The sequence below is a fragment of the Homo sapiens genome, chromosome 7, assembly GCF_000001405.40.
Source record: "Homo sapiens chromosome 7, GRCh38.p14 Primary Assembly".
Lineage (NCBI taxonomy): Eukaryota > Metazoa > Chordata > Mammalia > Primates > Hominidae > Homo > Homo sapiens.
The window spans coordinates 24,862,751-24,883,816 of NC_000007.14; the positions used below are offsets into that span (position 1 = coordinate 24,862,751).

The 21,066-nt window shown below is 40.9% G+C and overlaps 1 protein-coding gene across 42 annotated transcripts in view; it reads right to left on the minus strand.

The window, feature by feature from the left end:
* The window catches only part of OSBPL3 (oxysterol binding protein like 3), a 185,309-nt gene that overhangs the window by 66,214 nt on the left and 98,029 nt on the right, over positions 1-21,066 (minus strand). For 27 of the 42 annotated variants that reach the window (NR_104111.1, XR_007060001.1, XR_007060005.1 and 24 more), the window contains 7 exons: positions 9,203-9,319; positions 8,992-9,045; positions 7,982-8,095; positions 3,320-3,487; positions 2,592-2,715; positions 746-849; positions 450-542 (listed from right to left, as the gene is read on the minus strand). Coding sequence is in view for 33 of the 42 variants with exons in the window: in XM_047420134.1 (XP_047276090.1) it covers positions 450-542; positions 746-849; positions 2,592-2,715; positions 3,320-3,487; positions 7,982-8,095; positions 8,992-9,045; positions 9,203-9,319 (774 nt within the window). In the remaining 9 variants the exon portion in view is untranslated. The remainder of the gene's footprint in view (positions 1-449; positions 543-745; positions 850-2,591; positions 2,716-3,319; positions 3,488-7,981; positions 8,096-8,991; positions 9,046-9,202; positions 9,320-21,066) is intronic. The other 15 variants (NR_104112.1, XR_007060007.1, XR_007060004.1 and 12 more) reach the window with 1 other exon arrangement.

Here is a 21,066-nt window from a genome sequence, read left to right on the forward strand (position 1 = left end):
ATCTACACCATGTCCTGTGCCCAGAGAATCAGGCCTGTGGGCTTAGAGGGATGACAAATCCATGGAGCATCAGCGGAAGACACAGGTCACAGCACACAGCAACTGCAGCCACAAAACAAGGCACAAACACAAGCAGGGAAGAGCACAGGCAGGCTCAACAGTGAAGGTGGGGAAACCAAAAGCCCTAGAAATGGCAGCAGTCCCTGCGACCTCACACCCTTTTTCCCTTAGAAAAAATTCTCTCCCTTGCCCACGATCCATTATGTGCTTATCCTAGCACCCAGATAATCTAAGTGATTCAATTCATCTCGCTACAGAGGACACTGGAAAGAACAACTACAGAATATTCACTCATCTATTCTCCTAGCTGAGTCAAGGTAGCTGCTGGCACACGGCATGCAGAGCAGGGCCAATGAAGAAACCAGTCTGTCAGGGGAAGCAATGGTTACCTGCAGTGTTCCTTTAGCATCTTTGCCAATAGCTCTGGACCGCCACCTCCTGTGCGATCTTTTTTCCTTTTTGGGACTTTCAAAAGATCCACCCTTTGTTTCAAAACAGGAAAGAGAGCACAGACAGTAAAGTCCACCAAACCGACAAGGATAAATGCATAGCAAAGTGACCACCTCCATCCCCTTGACTTTGGCTGAAGCAACTGACCACAGCATCCCACTGTTAGTGAAAGGCTGGGAGGAGAAAGGAAAGCAGAAGAGGGCCAGAATGTCAACAGAAGAGGAGTCCGGCTCACCTGGATGGCGTTGATAGCTGGTGCCGAGTATGTCCGATGCAGGACGTCCATGCTTTGCAGGAGCTGGCTCATTTCTACCAGGTAGGCATGACAGTGCGCCAGGTCTGTGGGGGAAAAGAGGACAGTGCTCACAATGCTCCACTAGCAAGAGGGATCACTGTGCTGTCCCCATGCCAGCTACTTTTCCTTATTTATCTGTAGTTGATTTTTTTTTTCATCTGTAAGGGTTGGAAATTTTACTTCCTTTTTTACAGGAAAGGCTGTAGACTCTAGTGGTTAAGGGCATGAATCTTGAGAACCAGGCTGCTTCAGTTTGAATCCACTTAATGAACTGTAACTATTGAGAAAATTGCAAAACTGCATGCCTCAACTTCCTCATCAGAAAGATGGGGATAATTATACATCACATGACAAGAGAGTTGTGAGAATTAAATGAGTTGATATTGCACAGTTCTTAGAAGAGTGTTTGGCACAGAGTAAGAACTAAATAAATCAACCATCATCATCATCATCATCACCAACTTAAATCCTGTAGTAATATGCTGACACCATCCACTTGTCAGGACCCAATGCACATTAATAAAACTAAAATGAAAGTTGTACTGGTCTCTAAGGAAAACTTTGTCAATCATGGACCTGCCTGAGGACCATAATAAGCCTCTTGCACATGGACCTGAGAGGACATAAGAGGACTCTCCAACCAGATCCCAGTCGCTAACTCAAAAGATAGTCCATATTTGCTGTTCACTGAATGCTGATGGATGTTTCTGCTGAAGAATACAGGCCCAAATGCCTTAGGCTAGAGGCTCTCACACTTTGATATCATCAGAACCACCTGGAGACCTTGTTAAACCACAGCTCGTTGGGCTCCACCCCTAGTTTTTTATTCCATACATCTGGGTTGAGCCTGACAATGTGCATTGCTGATAAGTTCCCGGGTGGACGCTGCTGCTCCAGAGACAAGGCTTCAGGGACTGCTTTGACAAGCTGTCACTTGGTAAAGTTCATGAGTGATATTTATTAGAGGGGTAAAGCCTACATGGTCCCAAGGGTGATATTACCTGTATTCAACAAGAGATAATGCAATTTTCAAGGCTGCCACCTGGTATCTTTCTCTAATAGTGGTTCTCAATCATGGCTACAGTTTCAAATCAGTTGGAGAAATCTTTTAAATTATATATGCCTAAATCCCACCCCCAGACAATTCAATCAGAGCACTCCCAGTCCCGCTGTGGATCTTTTCGGTTTTTAGTTCCCTAAGTCAGTCTTAGCTAATTAAGGTTGAGAATGCTGAGTTTCCTTATGGCAGGCGCCTTATCAAAATCACTTGGGGAACTTTGGAAAATTAGTGATATCAGGGCCCTACCTCAGACCAATTTAAAGAGATTATTTGAGACAGAGGACTGGGAATGGGTATTACTGCATTTTAAAAGCCCTCTGGGTGATTCTAATGTGCAGTCAGGGTACAGAACACCTACATCGTGAAGATCTCCATCTGATCACTCCCTCACCTCTAGCACAATGATTCTCAATCTTTCTTGGATGTGTGTCAGACTCTGCCCTTGGAGACTGACTTATAGGCCCATGTGGAAATCAGGCATCAGTATCAGGCATCAATACTGAAGGAACAGAAGAAGAAACCTGTCTGCATGTACAGCCAGGTGAAGATGCAAAGATCTGCAAGGAGAGTGTCTTTTGTTGATGATGGGTGCAACCTTTACAAGCAAAATATGGAAGGGAATGTGGACAAGCATAGGGGAAGGACACAAATGAATCTGAAGTGTAAACATCAAACCAGTATCATCTAATAGCCACAACAGAAAGCAGACGTTTCAAGTCACTCTACCTTTGGAGCATTTTTCCATGTCCTCTGAAGACTGTAACCATAATGGAACTCGTGTCTCACCACCACAAGAAAATGATACATTGCTTCCAGTTTGAAATAAATTCTGCTTTGATATACTGCTACGCTGTTCCACGGATGACAAAAGCACATTGTAAATGGAAACAGAGCCCATTGGGGACATGTTAAGACAAAGGATAACAGAGTGGGCTAGTCACTAATGGACACCATCTGCCTATAATGAGGAAGAAGCTTCTAGCAAAGTACTAAGACCTCTGGCTATCACCCCGGCTTGGCCATACCGTGCTATGATACGACATGCCTTGAATGGTGGACCTAATTTTCTTCTTTTATCAAATATTAATAACATCAAAATAATAATATAAATGTTTGGAAATATTTTGCAATCCTGCATAGCTATATGCATACCTACTGTAGTTTACAACCAGAAAAGGAAACCAAACTCAAACCAGTCAGGATAAAGCTAGTTCATTCAGAGATGCTAAATTCCTCCTTATTCTTCAGTCACTGTCCGCCCCCGCCCCAACTAATAGATGCTTGTCTGGTCTTGGTTCTGACTCAGTGGGCAAACAGACTAATTAAATACCAGCCCAAGCCTACCCTGCTTGTCCCCGAAAACTTTTCCTTCTTCGGACTCAGCTCCCAAGACAGGACTCCATGAAACAAAGCCACCCCGTTCTCAGATTCATTATTGGCAAAACACTCATTACCTTCCTACTTGAAATGGAGTCAAACACCCCAGATGAAGAGTCTGTGATGGTGGACCCTGAGAAAAAGTGGTTAACTTCATGTGGAAACATGGCAATTTCATTCTGACGATACATTCTGTGGTGGCGAAGTTTCGATACCCACTCATCAAAGACTTCTTCTGACTTGACCTATAATATATTCGATTGAAAAAAGGAAACAAGAGAATCATTCACTGGAAGGAACAATTACTCATCAAATTGAGGCCACTCTCAAAATCCTCTTTTTCAGTTGGCACGTAATTTCAACAGCCAGGCGCAGTGGCTGATGCCTGTAATTCCAGCAATTTGGAAGGCCACGGAGGGAGGACCACTTGAGCCCAGGAGTTCGAGACCACCCTGGGCAACCTGGTGAAACCCTGTCTCTACAAAAAATACCAAAAAAATTAGCCAGACATGGTGGCACACGCCTGTGATCTGAGCTACTCGGGAGGCTGAGGTGGGAGGATCACTTGGGCCTGGAAGGTTGAGGCTGCAGTGAACCGAGATTGAGCCACTGCACTCCAGCCTGGGTGGCAGAGGGAGACTGTCTCAAAAAAAAATACATAAATAAGAAAGAAAAGAAAAGGAATGGAGAAATAGCCTCTCATTGACTGTTTACATTGATGTGGTCTATGGGAACAAGTTTGAGAAAGAAATGCAGAGTAAAAATGATCTTTATAAAGTATGTATTTTGGCTTTCTATGAGTAAGTCCAACTGTTATTTATTTATTTGAGACGGAGTCTTGCCTTGTTGCCCAGGCTGCAGTGCAATGGCCCAACCTTGGCTCACTGCAACCTCCACCTCCCAGGTTCAAGCGATCTCTTGCCTCAACCTCCCGAGTAGCTGGGATTACAGGTGTGCGCCATCATGCCCAGCTAATTTTTTGTATCTTTAGTAGAGGCGGGGTTTCACCATGTTGGCCAGGCTGGTCTCGAACTCCTGACCTGGTGATCTGCCCGCCTCGGCCTCCCAAAGTGCTGGGATTACAGGCGTGAGCCACCACACCTGGCCTGTTATGCTATTTTTAAGAAAACAGAACAGTGCCAATTATATTAAGCAACAAATAAACTGAAATTTACATTTATCTGTCTCTTAAAGCATTTCCAAGTTCTCTAATTCCAGCTTCTCTATCCCTACTGAAAATATTAGCACCATTTTTCTTTTTAAACTCTTTTATAATTCAGACTTTTCAGATTAATCTTTTCTGAACTGGAATGAATTAGTAAATTCTTCCTAAAATATTTAAACTTGTTCATCTCTCCAACAAAGAATACATTGCTGAGGAGTATATGTGGTATGGTTTGGCTGTGTCCCATGTCCCACCCAAATCTCATCCTGAATTCCCACATTTTGTGGGAGGGACCTGGTCAGTGAGAGGTAACTGGATCATGGGGGCAAGTCATTCCCATGGTGTTCTCGTGGTGGTGCGTGGGTCTCGCAAGATCTGGTGGTATTATAAAGTGGTGTTTCCCTGCACAAACTCTTTCTCTTTGCCTGCCACCATCCACAGATGATGTCACTTGCTCCTATTTGCCTTCTGCCATGACTGTGAGACCTCCCCAGCCATGTGGAACTGTAAGTCTATTAAACCTCTTTCTTTTGTAAATTGCCCAGTCTCGGGTATGTCTTTATCAGCAGTGTGAAAACGAACTAATACAATATGTTAATGAATGTGAAAGTTATTTAAAAAAACATTTCTCCCACTCTCAGAAATAAAGCACTATACAGCAATAGTATTATTTTTCTAACTTTTATTACTATCACACTCACAAACCTTTAGCCATCTCTCCATAAATGAACAATTATCGATTTCTAATTTCCATGAAGAATACTGTAACTAGTAGTTTTTATTTAAAGATATTTCAAATGTTTATAAAAATATGTGATATATATAAAAAGACTATAACAAGCACCTATATACCATAGATATTTCTTAAAAGTCAATTTTGGCTGGGCACAGTGGCTCACGCCTGTAACCCCAGCACTTCGGGAGGCTGAGGAGGGTGGATCATGAGGTCAGGAGATCGAGACTGTCCTGGCCAACATGGTGAAACCCTGTCTCTACTAAAAATACAAAAATTAGCTGGGTGTGGTGGTGTGCGCCTGTAGTCTCAGCTACTTAGGAGTCTGAGGCAGGAGAATCGCTTGAACCTGGGAGGGGGAGGTTGCAATAAGCCGAGATCACACCACTGCACTCCAGCCTGGGTGATGGAGCAAGACTCCGTCTCAAAAAAAAGAAAAAAAAAAAAAGTGTGTGTGTGTGTGTGTGTGTGTGTGTGTGTCTGTGTGTGATGGTGTATTGATATTTTCAAGGTAAAAAAATGATAGATAAATGATAGATACCCACATATTAGGACACCGAGATTTATGAAGCTGTAATTTAAGATAATCCAAAAGGATGCACAGTAGGTTAACTTCCAAGATGAAAAGTTCAGGTCAATCTGTGAAAATCTTTACTAATGCCAGAGATGAGAGCTAGGATATGCAAATAAATGCCAGCAATATCACTCACTGAGGAACTGTTAGGTTGGCTCTGGTGTTGATTATTAGAAGTACCTATAAGACTGGAAGCACCTGCAGGGGCTTTTTAATGTGTCATTTACAGGAAGAAGCAATACAAACAGACTCACACCTATTTGTCTCCCCTAAATTGTGTTCTTGAAATGTATTTCATTTCCCAGATGTGGTTAAGAGGAATTTTACAGGAATCTTGTGTTATCCTTTCCTCTGATCTCTTCTCAGAGGCCGTTATAAGTCAGTGCCCAAGCACTCATCTGGACTCACTTTTCTATGAGTTAAACAAGGTAGAAGAATAAGAGCACTTTATTAAATAACTGTCCAGGGTCCTGTTCCAGTCTCTCAAGCAGTTCTAGGGCCGTGGGTGAGCAGCCTCTTAATCTCTCTGCTACTCAGGATCCCTTATCTATAAAATAAATGGGACCAAACAGCCCACAATTAAAAACTGCCTGACTGAGTCTAATAACTAGAACGCTCAGATAACTACACTTACCTACACTAAGAGTCATAACCGATGTTCAAAAGAATGAACAAGAAACCAAACAGAACTTAAAGCAAATCACACAGAGAAATATTAAACTGCATTTATCACAATATTAGCATTCAATATATTTTCAGGTATTCTAATTCTTTAAAAATTATGAATTCATAATTACTTTTATTTTGTTAACCAGAATAGTGGGTAAATAAGAACCTATTAATTCCTGACCATGTCAAAATACAGAACTAAGATTCATTGGAAGTACCTGAAGAAATAACCTAAACTATTCTAGTGGAGACTGATCAATGAAACAGAAAAAACGATAGTATTCTTTCTTAAATTTCTTTTTTATCTTAAGATATAGGCTTTTCCCTCCCATACTTCACACCAGTCATTTGCAGCCAGGGGTGATTTTATCCTCTAGGGAACACCTGGCAATGTCTGGAGACATTTTTGTTGTCATAACTGGAGAAGGATGCCACTGGCATCTAGAGAGAGGGCAGGGGGCAGGGACACTGCTCAATATCCTGCTGTACAAAGTCGGCCTCCCACACCAAAACATCCAGCTCACAATGTCAATGGTGCAGAGGCTGAGAAACCCTGCTTTACACAATTAGCTACACCCAGAGATACAGTTAGGCTAGGAAATAGTGAAGATTTGACTGTCTTGCCCATTCAACAAACCACAGGTATGTGGCCCACACGGCTCAATCACCACACACATGCCATAGAGAGGACAGGGACACATTAAGACAAGGAGCTCATGATCTCATGCTTTGATTTTCCTAATCCTCAGGCCCCATTCCCAATATCTCAAGTAATTTGCCCAAGTAAGAAAACAGTCTTAGTACTTTCTCAATTAATTTCTAACATTTGGGTACCATCCAACAAGCACATACAATAACTAAACTTCCTGAGTTTACACTGGGCCAGGCACTATACCAAGTTTTCTACATGCAACCCGACAAGATAAGTATTACAATAATTTTCATTTTGTTATAGGTGAAAAAACTGAGACTTTCAGAGATTAACTTGCCAAAGTTCAATGGCTAGTGAGTAGCCACATCAAGATTTGAACCAGATCTAGATCTCACGCTTCATGCTTTGACTATCTCTACCACCTGTAGGAGAGACAGCACAAGAGGGTAAGCAGCTTTGAAGTACTATTTGGGAACCCACACTTCAGGGGAAAAATTCCTGACATTTTTCACTACAATATGAGAATTTTAGTGGGATTCCTATAAAATTAGCCAAAGTGATAAAACAGGGCTCCATGGCCTAAATGTTACATATATATTTCAGGAACACGTTTTAACCTATGGTAAATGGTTCTTCACTAAAGATGTTACTGCCTGGGTGGAGATGGTTTGGAAACAAAATTTTTCATTGTTGACTGTTGTCACAGTCACTGGGGGCAGGTTCGTATCTAGGGGATGAGGCGACCAGCAGGCTAAACCCTCAAGCAGTGTTGACAGTCCTGCACAATGACGTCCCATTCAAATACCAACACTGTACATGAGAAACACTTTGGTAATGAAGGTCTTCTACATGTTGGCCGAATACCCAAAAGGCATTACCAATAGTATAATAACTGATGATACTTCCCCAACATAAGTGAACTCTGCACAGTGGGAAGCAGCCTCACCTTCAGATGGTAGATGTGCTCCTCGGTGTCAAGGTCTATGCATTTTGATGACTTCTTTACAGACATCACTGAGAGCCCGACATCAATGCAGCCATGCAGCTTCTCTCTCTCTATCTGCAGAGGCACCAAGAGGGTCACTTGGGGACCATGGTGTTAGAAGCAGTAGTCACATCCCTGACACACCCTTCCACATCCCCTGATAGTAAAATCACAAACACTGCGACTCATCAAGCACTTAGCGTGAGCCAGTGCTGAGTTACGTGCTGGACATGCACTGTCTTCCTGAATCTCCGAGGTAGGAAGTACTCTCCCCATTTTACAGATGAAGAAACTGGAGTACAAAGGGGTTAAGTAACAAGCAGTTTACACAGCCAGGATGTGAGGAAACAAAAGAGTAAGCACCGTGGGTTGACTCCCATGGCAGTGAATTCACCTGTCAACTGTACCACCTCCCACTGAATGAGTTTCTGGTGTCTAAATTCATTTAGAAGTGATGTATTAATAAAAGAAGTGAGAGCAGAAGGCTGAGAGAGGACAGGAGAGGAAGAAGGGAGAAGAGTAGGACTCCTACAAGGGACAGGACAAATGGTCATTCACACACAGAGCCTTCACACACCAACTGCCTGGGATTAATTTGAAAAGGAACTTCTTCACCCAGGGGCTTCTCCCCGGAATCTCTCGGTCACAGTGCAAGAGGGAGGGATGCCCTATGTTTTGTTCCTGTTATCTAGCTGCAAGGATGTATTCTCCCACCCCAGGAACTCCTTAGCACAACCTTAAGACCAGAACAGACTTTTGCATGCCCAGAGAGTGTTGCGGGAGCCCCTGCACCTTGACCTGGTGGAAGAACTGAGCCTGCCTGGAACCCAGAGCTCAGACAGAAGTGTTTCCCCTCTATGGTTTCCAGTTCCGAGAAAAGCTATCCTCAACTATACACACTCTCATCTCTGAGCTGATGGTTACCCCTTTAGGATTCTTCAATACCACAGTGGGCCCACAAAAAGACTTACATCGGTTTGGCTCTTGGCATATTTCAAGATTCCTTTGTCCAGATAGAAGAATCTCTGTGGGGAAGAAAGTATTATTAATTAAGGCATTCAATTTAGGTGCCCTTTTCTTGGTCTCAAATTCCAACTAGAAATTAAATATGAGTACCTAAGAACCAGGTGCTGAGTGGGGCAGTGTGAGTGCAAATAAAGGGGAGGCCAAGACCAACCTTACCTTATGCCAGCCTTTTAAGGGCCACTTCCTCTTTTTCAGCAAAAATCCTTTCTGAACTGGTGGCTCCTGGGTGTAATTCATCTCCCCCCTCAGTCCTTCCACCACTTCCCAGCTGTCCTGTTCCAACAAAAGAGTTCATGTTAAATGTCTATCTTTTTGAAAAATAATAATGGTAAAAAGCACTGCATCCTGTCAGTAAATTTATTCAAGATGGGGAGGCTGGCTGGGTTTGTTGGGGAGAAGAAATCCAAATTTAATTTCCATACAGTCCCTGGGCTTCACAGATTTAATTCTATAATTTAGTGGCATCAAATTTTGGTTTTTTTAAAGCTCTTTTTTTTTTAGAAGGGAATGTTTCTTTCGGTGTTTGAACCTTAATAGGCACAGCTAAATGTAAAGATTTTCCTGTAAGTTCTATTTTTGTTCAGTTTGACATTACCATGCAATTACTGTTCGTTCAGCACTAGACTTCAGTCTGAATTTTAACCGAAAGAGAGTGTGTGTGTGTGTGTGTGTGTGTGTGTGTGTGTGTGTGGTGTTGGGGGAAGGAAGTTGGTTTAAGAATTGGCTGAACAGTATGAGACAATGCAAATCAGTAAATATGACAACTTGATTGAAATAATTATTTTGTTGAAAATCAGCATCCACAAATTCTAGGTATTTAAATGTACTGGAAATCTGGAAGCATCAAAAGTATATTTTTGCAACAAGAATTTTCACTTTTTTCCCAGAAATTTGTTTTTTCCATCTTTGTTTCAAAAACTTTTCTTTCTTTGGCCAATTATTACAAATAGTTGTTACAACTAATCTTCCACTATTGGCTATTTAGGTTATTTCAACTAATTGAAAAAGAATTTTAAAAGAAATAGAAGAACACTAAAAGTTCTGAAAATTTACTTTTAAATACTTAAAAATAAATACATCATTGCTAATCACCCCAAGATAAACCAAAAGTAGCAATACTTCAGTGACTGGGAGAATTTATTTTTATTATTATTTTTACATTTTTATTGGGGTACAATATACATGAAATGCATGAATCTTAAGAGTATGCCTTGATAAAAATGATAAATTTTTACATTTATACATATACTCAGTAACTGCCAGCCAAACCCGACAGAAAACATTTCCAACACAGAGTAAGTTTTGACAAGCATGACACTTCAGCCAAGATTTCACCTGGACTAACTTGCTTTGAGTCAAATCTCCAGCCCACAGGCAGGTGGTACAGGCAGAAGCCAAGGGCACTGGGAGATGGACAGTGAGTCTGAACCAGCACCAGGGAGCAGGAGGCAGTTAGATTCAAGTCCTGGGACACAAGTGGTCTAACAGGGAGGGCACAGAAACCACACAGGGTCCTGAGTGGCTCTGGCTCAGTTTCTGTGTTGTCCTCAAGTTCAATACGTGGGACCCACCTGGTAATGAGAACCCTTTCCTACGTTAGCAACTGAATTCTTTACATAATGATCGTGATGGGTCTGCCTTCTATCTGATGGCACTTTACCATGAATCCAATTAAAGGTACATTCCAGAGTTTTAAAATATCACAGTGGTATCCCAAGATCTGGAGTTGTGAAAAAGACTTCTTCAATGGAAAAAAGCAAAGCTTCGAAAAAAGATCCAGCTTTTAAATTAGAGGATTTTTTTTTTAAGGAAGGTAGCAATGTTGAATGAGATTTCTTCATAACAAAATTATTACCAATTATTCCAAGTCACTTAATTACACTCAGACAATAAATGCATACTACTAAGTGATGGGAAGTCAGATTTCCTATTACTTAAAAACACCAAAAAAAAAAACTTACTTGAATTTATTTTAGCTCAGAAAGCCATTCCACAAAATTTAACACATTTTACCCATCTAAATGTTAATGAACCTTTAAGGTTGTCAAGTTAAAAATTCCACCTCAAATTTCACCTCCTCCAGTGGAAAATACCATTTCATCCTTAGAGACTCCATAGGTACTCCATCTTACTTTTCTGGAGGTTCACCACTTACTTATGATAACATGTACATGCGGTTTTATCATCCCTGCTGGACAGCAGGCTCCTTGAGGGTATAAAGGGTCCGGAGTATTTCTGATTTCCCCACAATGCCTAACCTGCTGTGCTGTGAATAGTATGCATCTGATTGGCAAATGAATAAACTTAGTCTTGGAATAAGTCTGCAAACAGATTTATCTTCTTGGAATGTCATAAATTAGCGTGCATTTGAAATGTGCCCAGTATCTTTGAGCCAAATGACTATTTACAAATTAGATACAATGCACCCACAATTGTGAAAGAAGAGGGTGTGGGTATCGTCATTGTTAAATAAAAATCCAAGACTTAAAATCCTCTGGAAAGTACTCTAAGTGGATCAAGCCCTTTTGATTTGTTTGTTTTAAGACTCCCAGGCAGAAGCAACCTGCAGAGCACTAATACTAAATAATCATACACATCTGCTCAAAACATTCGATTGTGCACAATGCAAATACCAAGAGGAATCAGACGTTATTGCATCCTTTACAAAACTGAAGAAAAAGTAGATAAGATCATACCTGTAAGTTTAAAGGAAAACAAGAATTAAATCTCAGAACTATTTCAAAAATTCCTGTTAGAACTGGACTGTTCCTCCTCCTGAGACAGAGTGCATTCCTATCAGTGACCCACCAAGAAGGGCAGGGAATTAAAGCACATCTGTTGGCCCTTAACATAAATAAACAAAAAAAGGAGTTGCATTTTTTTTTCCTACAAAATATTGTGTTTTCTTCATTTTATCTTCCACCTGGGGTCAGAACTTGAAACTGTTACCAGGTTGGAAAAGCCAGGTTTGAAATATTTAAGAAAGTGAAGACTCTCCTTGACTAAAAAAGCAGTGCAACCAACTCCTTTTCTGGACTGGACATCCAAATCTGCCCCCTGCCTCATCGCCAACTTCCCTGTCACCGTCCATGAGTTGTGAGGCCAACATCCAGCCTAGTGTTTCTCAGTGAGGTTGCAAATGCTCCCTCGGGGACACTGTGGAATCCTGGAGCCACTTTTGGTTGTGACAATGATAGGGAGATGCCTCTGGCATGGAATGGCTGGGAGCCAGGAATGTTAGATGTCCCACAATGCCTCGGTCTTGCACAATGAAAACGCCGTCCCACACCCCAAAGACTTCCCAAAGTGCCATTAGCCATTTCTGTAAGTGAAATGTGCTTAAAATCACTTGAGCATGGAACCAAACTCTGTTTCACACATATATCAAAGTATTTTCGCATGGTTTTTATACACTCTTGGGATGTAAGTGCAGAGTAACTGAGGGAAGACTGTATTTTGTTCTTTTTGGAACTTTACCAAGTGTCTCCTACTATTTTAGAGAACGATATTGCTGAAGGCCATGCTATTTGAGTTATTAATATAGCACACCTGTATCCTCTCCATTTGCAGTTGTCACTTTCTATGTATAGGTATATCTGATCACTTCATTATGTCTTCTGGTGTAGTCATGCCTGGACTTTTACATATTGAAATATATGTTTTAACATTAACCACATTCTTTGAATTTTCCTTTATATTACAGTAAAGCATGATGCTGACATTTTCAAAATTATGTATTCAAGTAGGTTACATTAATAATGAATATCATTTGGACATAGTGGCTCATGCCTATAATCCCAGGATTTTGGGAGGCTGAAGCAGGAGGAACACTTGAGCCCAGGAGTGTAAGGCTACAGAGTGCTATGAGCACACCACTACACTCTCCAGCCTGGGTGAAAGAGTGAGACCCAGTCTCTTAAAAAAATTATATATGTAATTTTTAATATATAATCATATACATAATACATATTTACATATATAAATTTTATATATATACAAATTTATAGGAGAGTAAATTTTGGAGGAGAGTAAAGCAATCACTAAAACACTGGTCATAATAAGAGGACATTGGTTACGTGGACGACAGGGTAAGAACCACTAATGAACTTGGTACAAATTCTGTGTGCTGTTGTAAGAAAGAATACTAGCCCAGGACACAGTGTATGTGAAATCACTTTGAAAATTGTAAAGGCTTTAATATTTTCTTGTAAGTAAGTCCTGTTGGTTCCATCTTCAAAATGTGTATTTTCTACTTCCCTTCCTCTTTATTGCCCAGCCACCATCCTAACCTCGGCTCTCATCCATTCCATTAATTCCTCACTTGTGCTTAAGTCAACAACCATTTATGGGGCCTCATTGTGTCCTGTCCTTCATGCAATATAAAAATGAGGATGACAAAATGGTTGTCTTTATTTCCACTTTGGCGATTTACTTATATTTTGGCCTCCCAGAATCTTCTCTTGATCTTTTCCAACGATGTGAACTCTTCAGGATTTTAGTTTGGTTTCTACCTCCTTCCATGAAATTTCTAAATTATCCAAACCACATCAGTCACATATTCCTGTAAATTACATTATTATTACTGTCCATTACCAAATAATTTAGCAATTAATTAACTTCTAAGGTTTTTTTTTTTTCTTCCCTTTCATTTTTATCTCCAGTGCTTTGGTCTTTTTTTCCCAAGCTATCACAGTGACCATCTTTTCAACTTGCTTAGAATCCTAGTAAAGTACTAAGTATATATTTAGTAGGAACTAAGAGATTTCTCCTGGTTTATTCATTGTTGGGGTCTCAAACCAAGAAAATAAGTTCTCAAACCAAGTAAATGGCACTGAGTAGCTGGCCTACAAAGAGATATTAAGCTGTATCCACAATTCTGTACAGCATGCCATTTAAAACACAAAAGAATAGTGCCTCAGGAAATACTATCCAGTGGGGTCGGCTGAAATAATACATAAACCTAACTATATAAGCAATAATAATATAAAATAATTGGAGAACACTTTCTAGCTCTATGAAAGCAGGAACCTTTTCTGTCTTGTTCACTACTTAAAATAGTGCATAGTAGATATTAATAAATATGTTGAAAGAATAGAGCAACTACAATAGCTAACACTTAAGCATCTTCTATATGTCAGATAATGTGCTAAATACCATACTTACATGATCATGTTTAATTCCTGCACAACCTTTGAGATTGGATTTATTAGTATTCTTTATTTTTTTGCATGTGGAAACTGAGGAAGAGAGAATTAGATAACTTCCCTGATGTTACAAAACCAAGTGACGAAGCCACCTGACTGCAGAACTTACATTTTTAATCATTCTGTCACATATTATAGCATACTGCATTTTTACTGTAGTTTAAGTATGTAAATTCTGATGAAGAAAAAGGAGTAAATCCCATTGGGTAGAGGAATAGTGGTGGGCCAAGACCTTGAGACAATTGGAAGGAGTTAAGAAACAGTGCAGTATGGATGGAGGCAAGTAAGGTCTTCAACCCTGCTCAGAGATAGCTACTGTTTTCCCTATACTGTAATCCCACCAAACAGGGAAGGGAAATTAGCCTGTGCATTTTAAGGCTGCCAAGTCTTCGCCATTCATTTTTTTTCATATTTGGAAAGCCTGCCCCATCTACCTCTTAGCCAGGTAAATTCTCATTTAGGCCCAAACCTCCTCCCTGGATGACAGTCACCTTGCACTGTCAGCCTCCCTAGCTAGAACATGGGTTCCGTGAGGACAGGGACTGTGTCTTATTTATTACAATCCTACTACCTGGGAAATAGGGGCCGAAATAAATGTTTACTGAATGAGTCTGCAAAGCAAGGGGGGTATCAAAAGAGTCCCCCAGAACCTTCGGGACATGGGACTTTAATAATGTGTGCTGGATTAGAGTGAGTTGGCACTCAGGACAGAAAACAAGAGGGATGTTGGTTTCTCTTGGCTAAAGGAACCAGGACTTAGGAGTATCTCCTGGTGACCCCAAGAGTAGGGCAGGCACCTTGAGCTGCATATCCTGAGACACAGTACAGGGTAGACTTGGGCCCTTGGGGAAATCAAGGCCCTGCTGACTTAGCCCAACACGGCTGCACTGATGTCTCATCCTGTGGGGTGTCAAGCTTAAAGGTCACCATGAATACCAGGTGGAGAGAGAAACATGGGAGGGGTTGGGGGATGTGGCTTCTTAAGGTTTTTGCATGAGTTTCACTGAAGACAGTCTGGTGCTGTCATCTGGCATTAAATTTAGTCTGTTTTACTGAATGTCTGAAAAGTGCCAAAGATAGAAAGCTGCTTTGTGATTGCAAAGGCAGCTAAGCATTTATTCATGCTCATGCGCTGGCCAAGTTAATTTCCATATTGCTGAGTGCACGAATTGAAAGCACTTCCCTCCAGCACAGCTGTTTCCACAGGCACCTTTCAAATGCTGAATCCTCAGTCACTACCCTTGCAGTGATGTCAGAAATAGAAAACGATTAAAACTTTTATTCTTCTTGCAGCTCAAGAGTGTTGGGGAAGAAAGTTTTGTGGTTGCCTCTATCAGGCATGGTTGGAAAACGGGTGTCCTGATTACTCACTTAATCCGTTTATCAGTTTTTTAAAAATCACAAGGCAATACCCAGCCTTAAATCATGTAATTTAATGTGTCTTTAATGATTTTAAAGGCATTCAAGATCTTCCACGGCCTATTAAGAAAGGCTAACGATCATCAATATTACCTTTTATGATTGTTCTATGAACACTGACAATACTTGTCAATAGATTTTCAATTAATAGAATGACAGCTTTAACTGATGCTAGACCAAAACTGTACTCACATTTCAATCACTGAGAACTGGAGTTGTTGTTTCTTGTTAAATGTTTCTCAGCTATGGTTTTTTGTTTGTTTGTTTAGCACCAGCAGGCCTGATAGCAATGGCAATTTTTAAGAAAAGAAAAAATTAGTTGGGAGAAAGGTAGTGTATGAGCTCTCACTCAGTGCTTCTCAAACTGTAATTTGCATGTCAATCACTTGGAGATCTTGTTAAAAATGCAGATTTAAGTTCAGTAGGTCTGGGGGAGGCCTGAGATTCTGCACCTGCACAGATGAGGCTATCACTGCTGCTGGACCATAAGCCCAACTTGAGTAGCCACATTCCAGGAGACCAGGCTGTCTCAAAAAATTGGGATTTGACTTGACAGAATCTGAAGGCAAAACCAGGACTAACGGGTGGGAACTACAAGGCCCTGGATTCCAGCTTTGCCTAAAGGATGGGTTGTCTTACTATCTAATGAGTGCTATGAAAAATGGCAAAAACATGGCTGATCTATGAAAGTCTCTGGAGTGCTCCATCAGAGGCTGGTGGTCACCTGGCAGAGGCACCACAGAGAAGATTCCAAGACTGGCAGGGAGTTTAGAACAAGTGAGCTATGAGATCCTTTCTAAATCTTCTATCATAAACTCATGTCATACTAAACAGCAGCATTTGCATTAGCTCTATAACCTCAAGTACAATCCCTGACTTTGGGATCTAAGTGAGAAGATTAAAGAAAACAGGAGACTGAGCAATGAAGCTCCCACTTGGGTTCTGATGACTAAATGGGAGTAGCAGTCATCACCCGCCACCGTCACCATCCCTTCTTTCCCTTCACACACAGATGTAGCTCTCCAACCTCAGGCCAGAGCTAGGGAAGTGAATATCCAGATAATTCAGGCCCCAGAATGTTTCAAGTCTTACTACTTGGTTAGCCACAGACCAAAAACACTGGTGCCTTCATTACTTAGATAATGGGAGAATATTCATGCTGTCTTTGTGGTGAACCCTTGAGAAAGGGAAGGAAAATCAGTCCTTGCCAGCAGCTGATACTGACAACAAGGAGATAAAATCCTGTGGGCTGCCAGCTCTGTCAGTGGCTCCACCTGAGGTCATTCCCATCCTGAGTTTCCAAAGAGAAAAACGCTTTCCAACTGTATTGACCACAGACGGATTTATAATTAAAATAGCATTAATAAAAACACTTCAATGTACATATGACTATTTCCACGCTGTTGATCACTCACTCAGCATTTATGGCTACAATTACTTTGGCATGTTTTTAGGCCCCTCAGATATATTGGGAAGCCATTAATATTTGTTAAATATTCCCCTAATTGTATCAAGCCCCTTAAAGCTACAAACAGCATCTTCTATGCATTTTTCTCTCCTCCTAATGCTCTGTTCGGTAAGCAGGGTCTCTTAGACTATTAAAGATGAAAACATCCAGCCCATAAATGTCATTCCTCTCTGGCCATGCAGCCCACTGGGGTGGTGATGGGGTTTTTATAGTTGCTATTGTGGTAGTGATTATAGTTATAAAAGTGACAACTACTATTTTTTTAATATATGTACCTTGTGGTGATTCTATAATGAAAGCATTATTATCCTCATTTTACAGATGAGAAAATTGAAGCTCCAAATTAGTTTGTGCAAGATCACAAACTATTAAGAGGCAGAACCCATTTGCAGACTGCGTCTTGAGATCCCACGCAGAACCTCGCAGCTGAGTGTCCACTGTGGATAAGATCACCTAGAAGCAAACTAGCACTCAGCTGAGCCCATCCAGGGCCACCTACTGACCCTCCCCTACCAGTCCTGCCTCTCACCCCCCTACTCTCTCCCCCAGCGGAACAAGTCTGTCTTTTGTTCCAGGGGCATGTTTCTGCCCTCCATACACTTGTGGCTTAGTCAATAAAGACAAGATAGCTCTGTCCACCCAAGTGACTCAAGGGTCTCTTCTGAGTTTTTCTCTTGCCTTCAAAGTACACCATAATGATTGGCTTTCCTGTACCATCATGGAATATTTAAGTCTCAGAGTGTGACACAGAATGAAGAAGTCATTTACCCAGCTCTTTCATTTAGAGATGAGGAATCTATGCTGAGTGATTTGTTTGGGGCTGCGAAAAATGAGTGAGGGGCTTTTAAGGACCAGGACCCAGGTCTTTTGACTCCAACTCATGAGCACACACCTTGTATGAAGGGGAGAAAAACTCCAAAACAGGCTCCTGTGTGAATGGGACTGGGGCCTGAGGTGAGATATTTTTCCTTTTTATATCACCCAGGACTGTTTTAATATTTTACCTTTATTATATTTTAATTTAAAAAAAACCTTTCAGTGACATGTCACAGAGCCCTGCCCTTTGGTGTCTGAGCACAGAAGAGAATCACAGACTCTGCACTCAGATATAATACTCTTGTATGCCAACTACAGGGCATTCATGACTCTTCAAGGAGACCCACTGCTTTGCTGGACAGCACCAGCTGAGAACAGTGCTCTCTCTTACAGAGTGCTCAAAACTATTTTTTCAGAGCTAATTGAAATTTGCAATCAAAGCAGAGATACATTCTGACTAATCAACACATGCATGACTTAGAATCACAGGAGTAGGTGGCAGAAGTTTAGCACAATAAACTCTTCTTTATCTTGATCCAAATCAGAAGTGAATTATTTTCACAGTGCTACACAATAACTGGTTCTCATAATGAGAACCTAGTGACAATGTTAAGATCTCAGAGAACTTTACAAATCAAAGAAGGAATGACTTTAGTGCCAAGTATGTTATAGTCCAGTTTGTAACGGAGCTTCTTTTTAATAGGGGGGTCCCTGCTTAAAGGTCCAAAGCTCATTATCAGGAACTAGAGATACAAAGATGTAAAATCAAGTGCTGGATCTCAAAAAGCTAACATACATTACAAATGTTAATAAAAGGGATACCACAAGGTTGAAAATTTGTAAATTGTCAAATGGGAGATTCACACAAACCTGCTGCAGGAGTTCAGACAGGCATAATCTCCAAAGCCTAGATCCACATGAGCTGGGACTCCCAGAAAAAATGACACACAGTAAGCAGCAGGGTGTCTTAGATTCCTGAGGCCAACTTGATGAGCAGTCACAAACTTTGGTGGCTTAAATAAACAGATATTTATTCTCTAGCCGTTCTGGAGGCCAGAGGTCCAAAATCAAAGTGTTGGCAGGTCCACGCTCCCTCTGGAGGATCTCAGGGGGATTCATTCCTTGCTTCTCCCTCTGGTGGCTGCCAGCATTCCATGGCATGGCTTGGCTTGTAGCTGCATCACTCCAATCTCTCTCTCCACCATCACATCACCTTTTCCTCTATGTCTGTCTTCTCCCGAACGTGTTTCTTATAAGGACATTTGTCAGTGAATTTAGGGCCCACCTGGATAATCTGAGCTGCCCTACTCATCTCAAATCCTTAAATTAATTACATCTGTAAAGGTCCTTTTTCCAAATGTGGTAACATTCACAGCTTCCAGCATTAGGATGTGGATACATCTTTTTCTTTTAAAACAGTGTATATATTTATAGGGTACCTGTGCAATTTTCTTACATACACAGTTTGCATAGTGGTCAAGTCAGGGCTTTCAGGGTATCCATCACCACGTACATTGTGTCCATTACCTAATTTCTCCCCCTCCTCCCTCCCCCACCCTCACCTGCTGAGTCTCCATTATCTAGATCATTCCACTCTCTATGTCCACCTGAATACATTTTTTAGCACTCACTTATGAGAACATGTGATATTTGTCTTTCTGTGCCTGGCTTATTTCACTTAAGATAATGACCTGGTCCAGTTCCATCCATGTTGCTGCAAAATACATGATTTCACTCTTTTTGATGGCTCAACAGTATTCCATGTGTGTATATATTTTCGTCATCCATGCAATCATTGGTGGAAACAGGTTAATTTTATATCTCTGATATTGTAAATACTGATGCAATAAACATATGAGTGCAGGTACCTTTTAGATATATTTATTTCTTTTCCTTTGGCAAGATACCCAGTAGATCACATGGTAGTTCTTTAGTTCTTTGGGAAATCTCCAGACTGTTTTCTGATGAGGCTGTACTAATTTACATTCCCATTGACAGTGTGAAAGAGTTCCCTTTCTTCTGCATCCTCACCAACATGTTGTTGTCTTTGTATTAATAGTCATTTGACTTATATAAGATGATATCTCATTGTGGTTTTGATTTGCATTTCCCTGATGATTATGTTGAACATTTTTTCATATACTTGTTGGCCACTTGTATGTCTTCTTTTGAAAAATGTTTATTCATGTCCTTTGCTTGTTTTTTAATGAGATTATTTGTTTTTTGTTGTTGTGGTTGAGCTGTTTGAGTTCCTTGTATATTCTGGATATTAGTTCCCTGTTGGAAGCATAGTTTGCAAATATTTTCTCCCATTTTGCAGGTAGTCTGTTCACTGTTTTCCTTTTGCTGTGCAGAAACTTTTTAGTTTAATTAAGTAGGAAGTGAACATGTCTTTTTATGATTCAGCTCACTACACAGGGCCCCAGGGACCACGGGGCCAAGATGTGCCAGGAATGTGATTCATCTGAAGTAGGAACAGAGAGGAGGTGATTTAGGGTGATGTGGGCTTGTGAACAGATGCAGTGGAAAACACAGCTGAACTTGACGGTAGGGCCAGGGTGTAGGTTTTAGAGGGATATCAGATGACACTAGGGAAGTCTTCTGTTGTGCCTCTGTCCTACTTCTTGCACTGTCACTTCTGGACCTTTAGTATTTTAATATTATCAAATTACTGAAGCAGACTTTCCCCTCCCCAGGAAAGAGCTATTGAATCGGTCAGCTCAGTTCACATTTGCATCAATAGCTTCTTGAGAACATTCCATTACCTTGTACAGCTGCTATGCTGTGCTCTCAACCAGAGCATCTGGGCCAGGGTTCTGCCTTCCTGTATCTTAAATGTGCCCACTGCCAACCATGAATAAATATATTTATTTTCTTAAGGCATCCCATGCAGTTTTCATCAAAGTAATATTTCTAAATCTCACCCAAATATATTTGCTGTGATTATTATTCCAGGATTGCAGAACAATACAGACAGTTCAGCAACTTTCTGGAAGTGTTTTAAGATTTCAGTTTCTCGTGATCTTCAGAGTGTGGAATGCAGCTGACAGTCTGTCATTTGTGGATGTGGAGAGGAACAAAGAAGTCCTGACAACTCAAATATGTCATTTGAG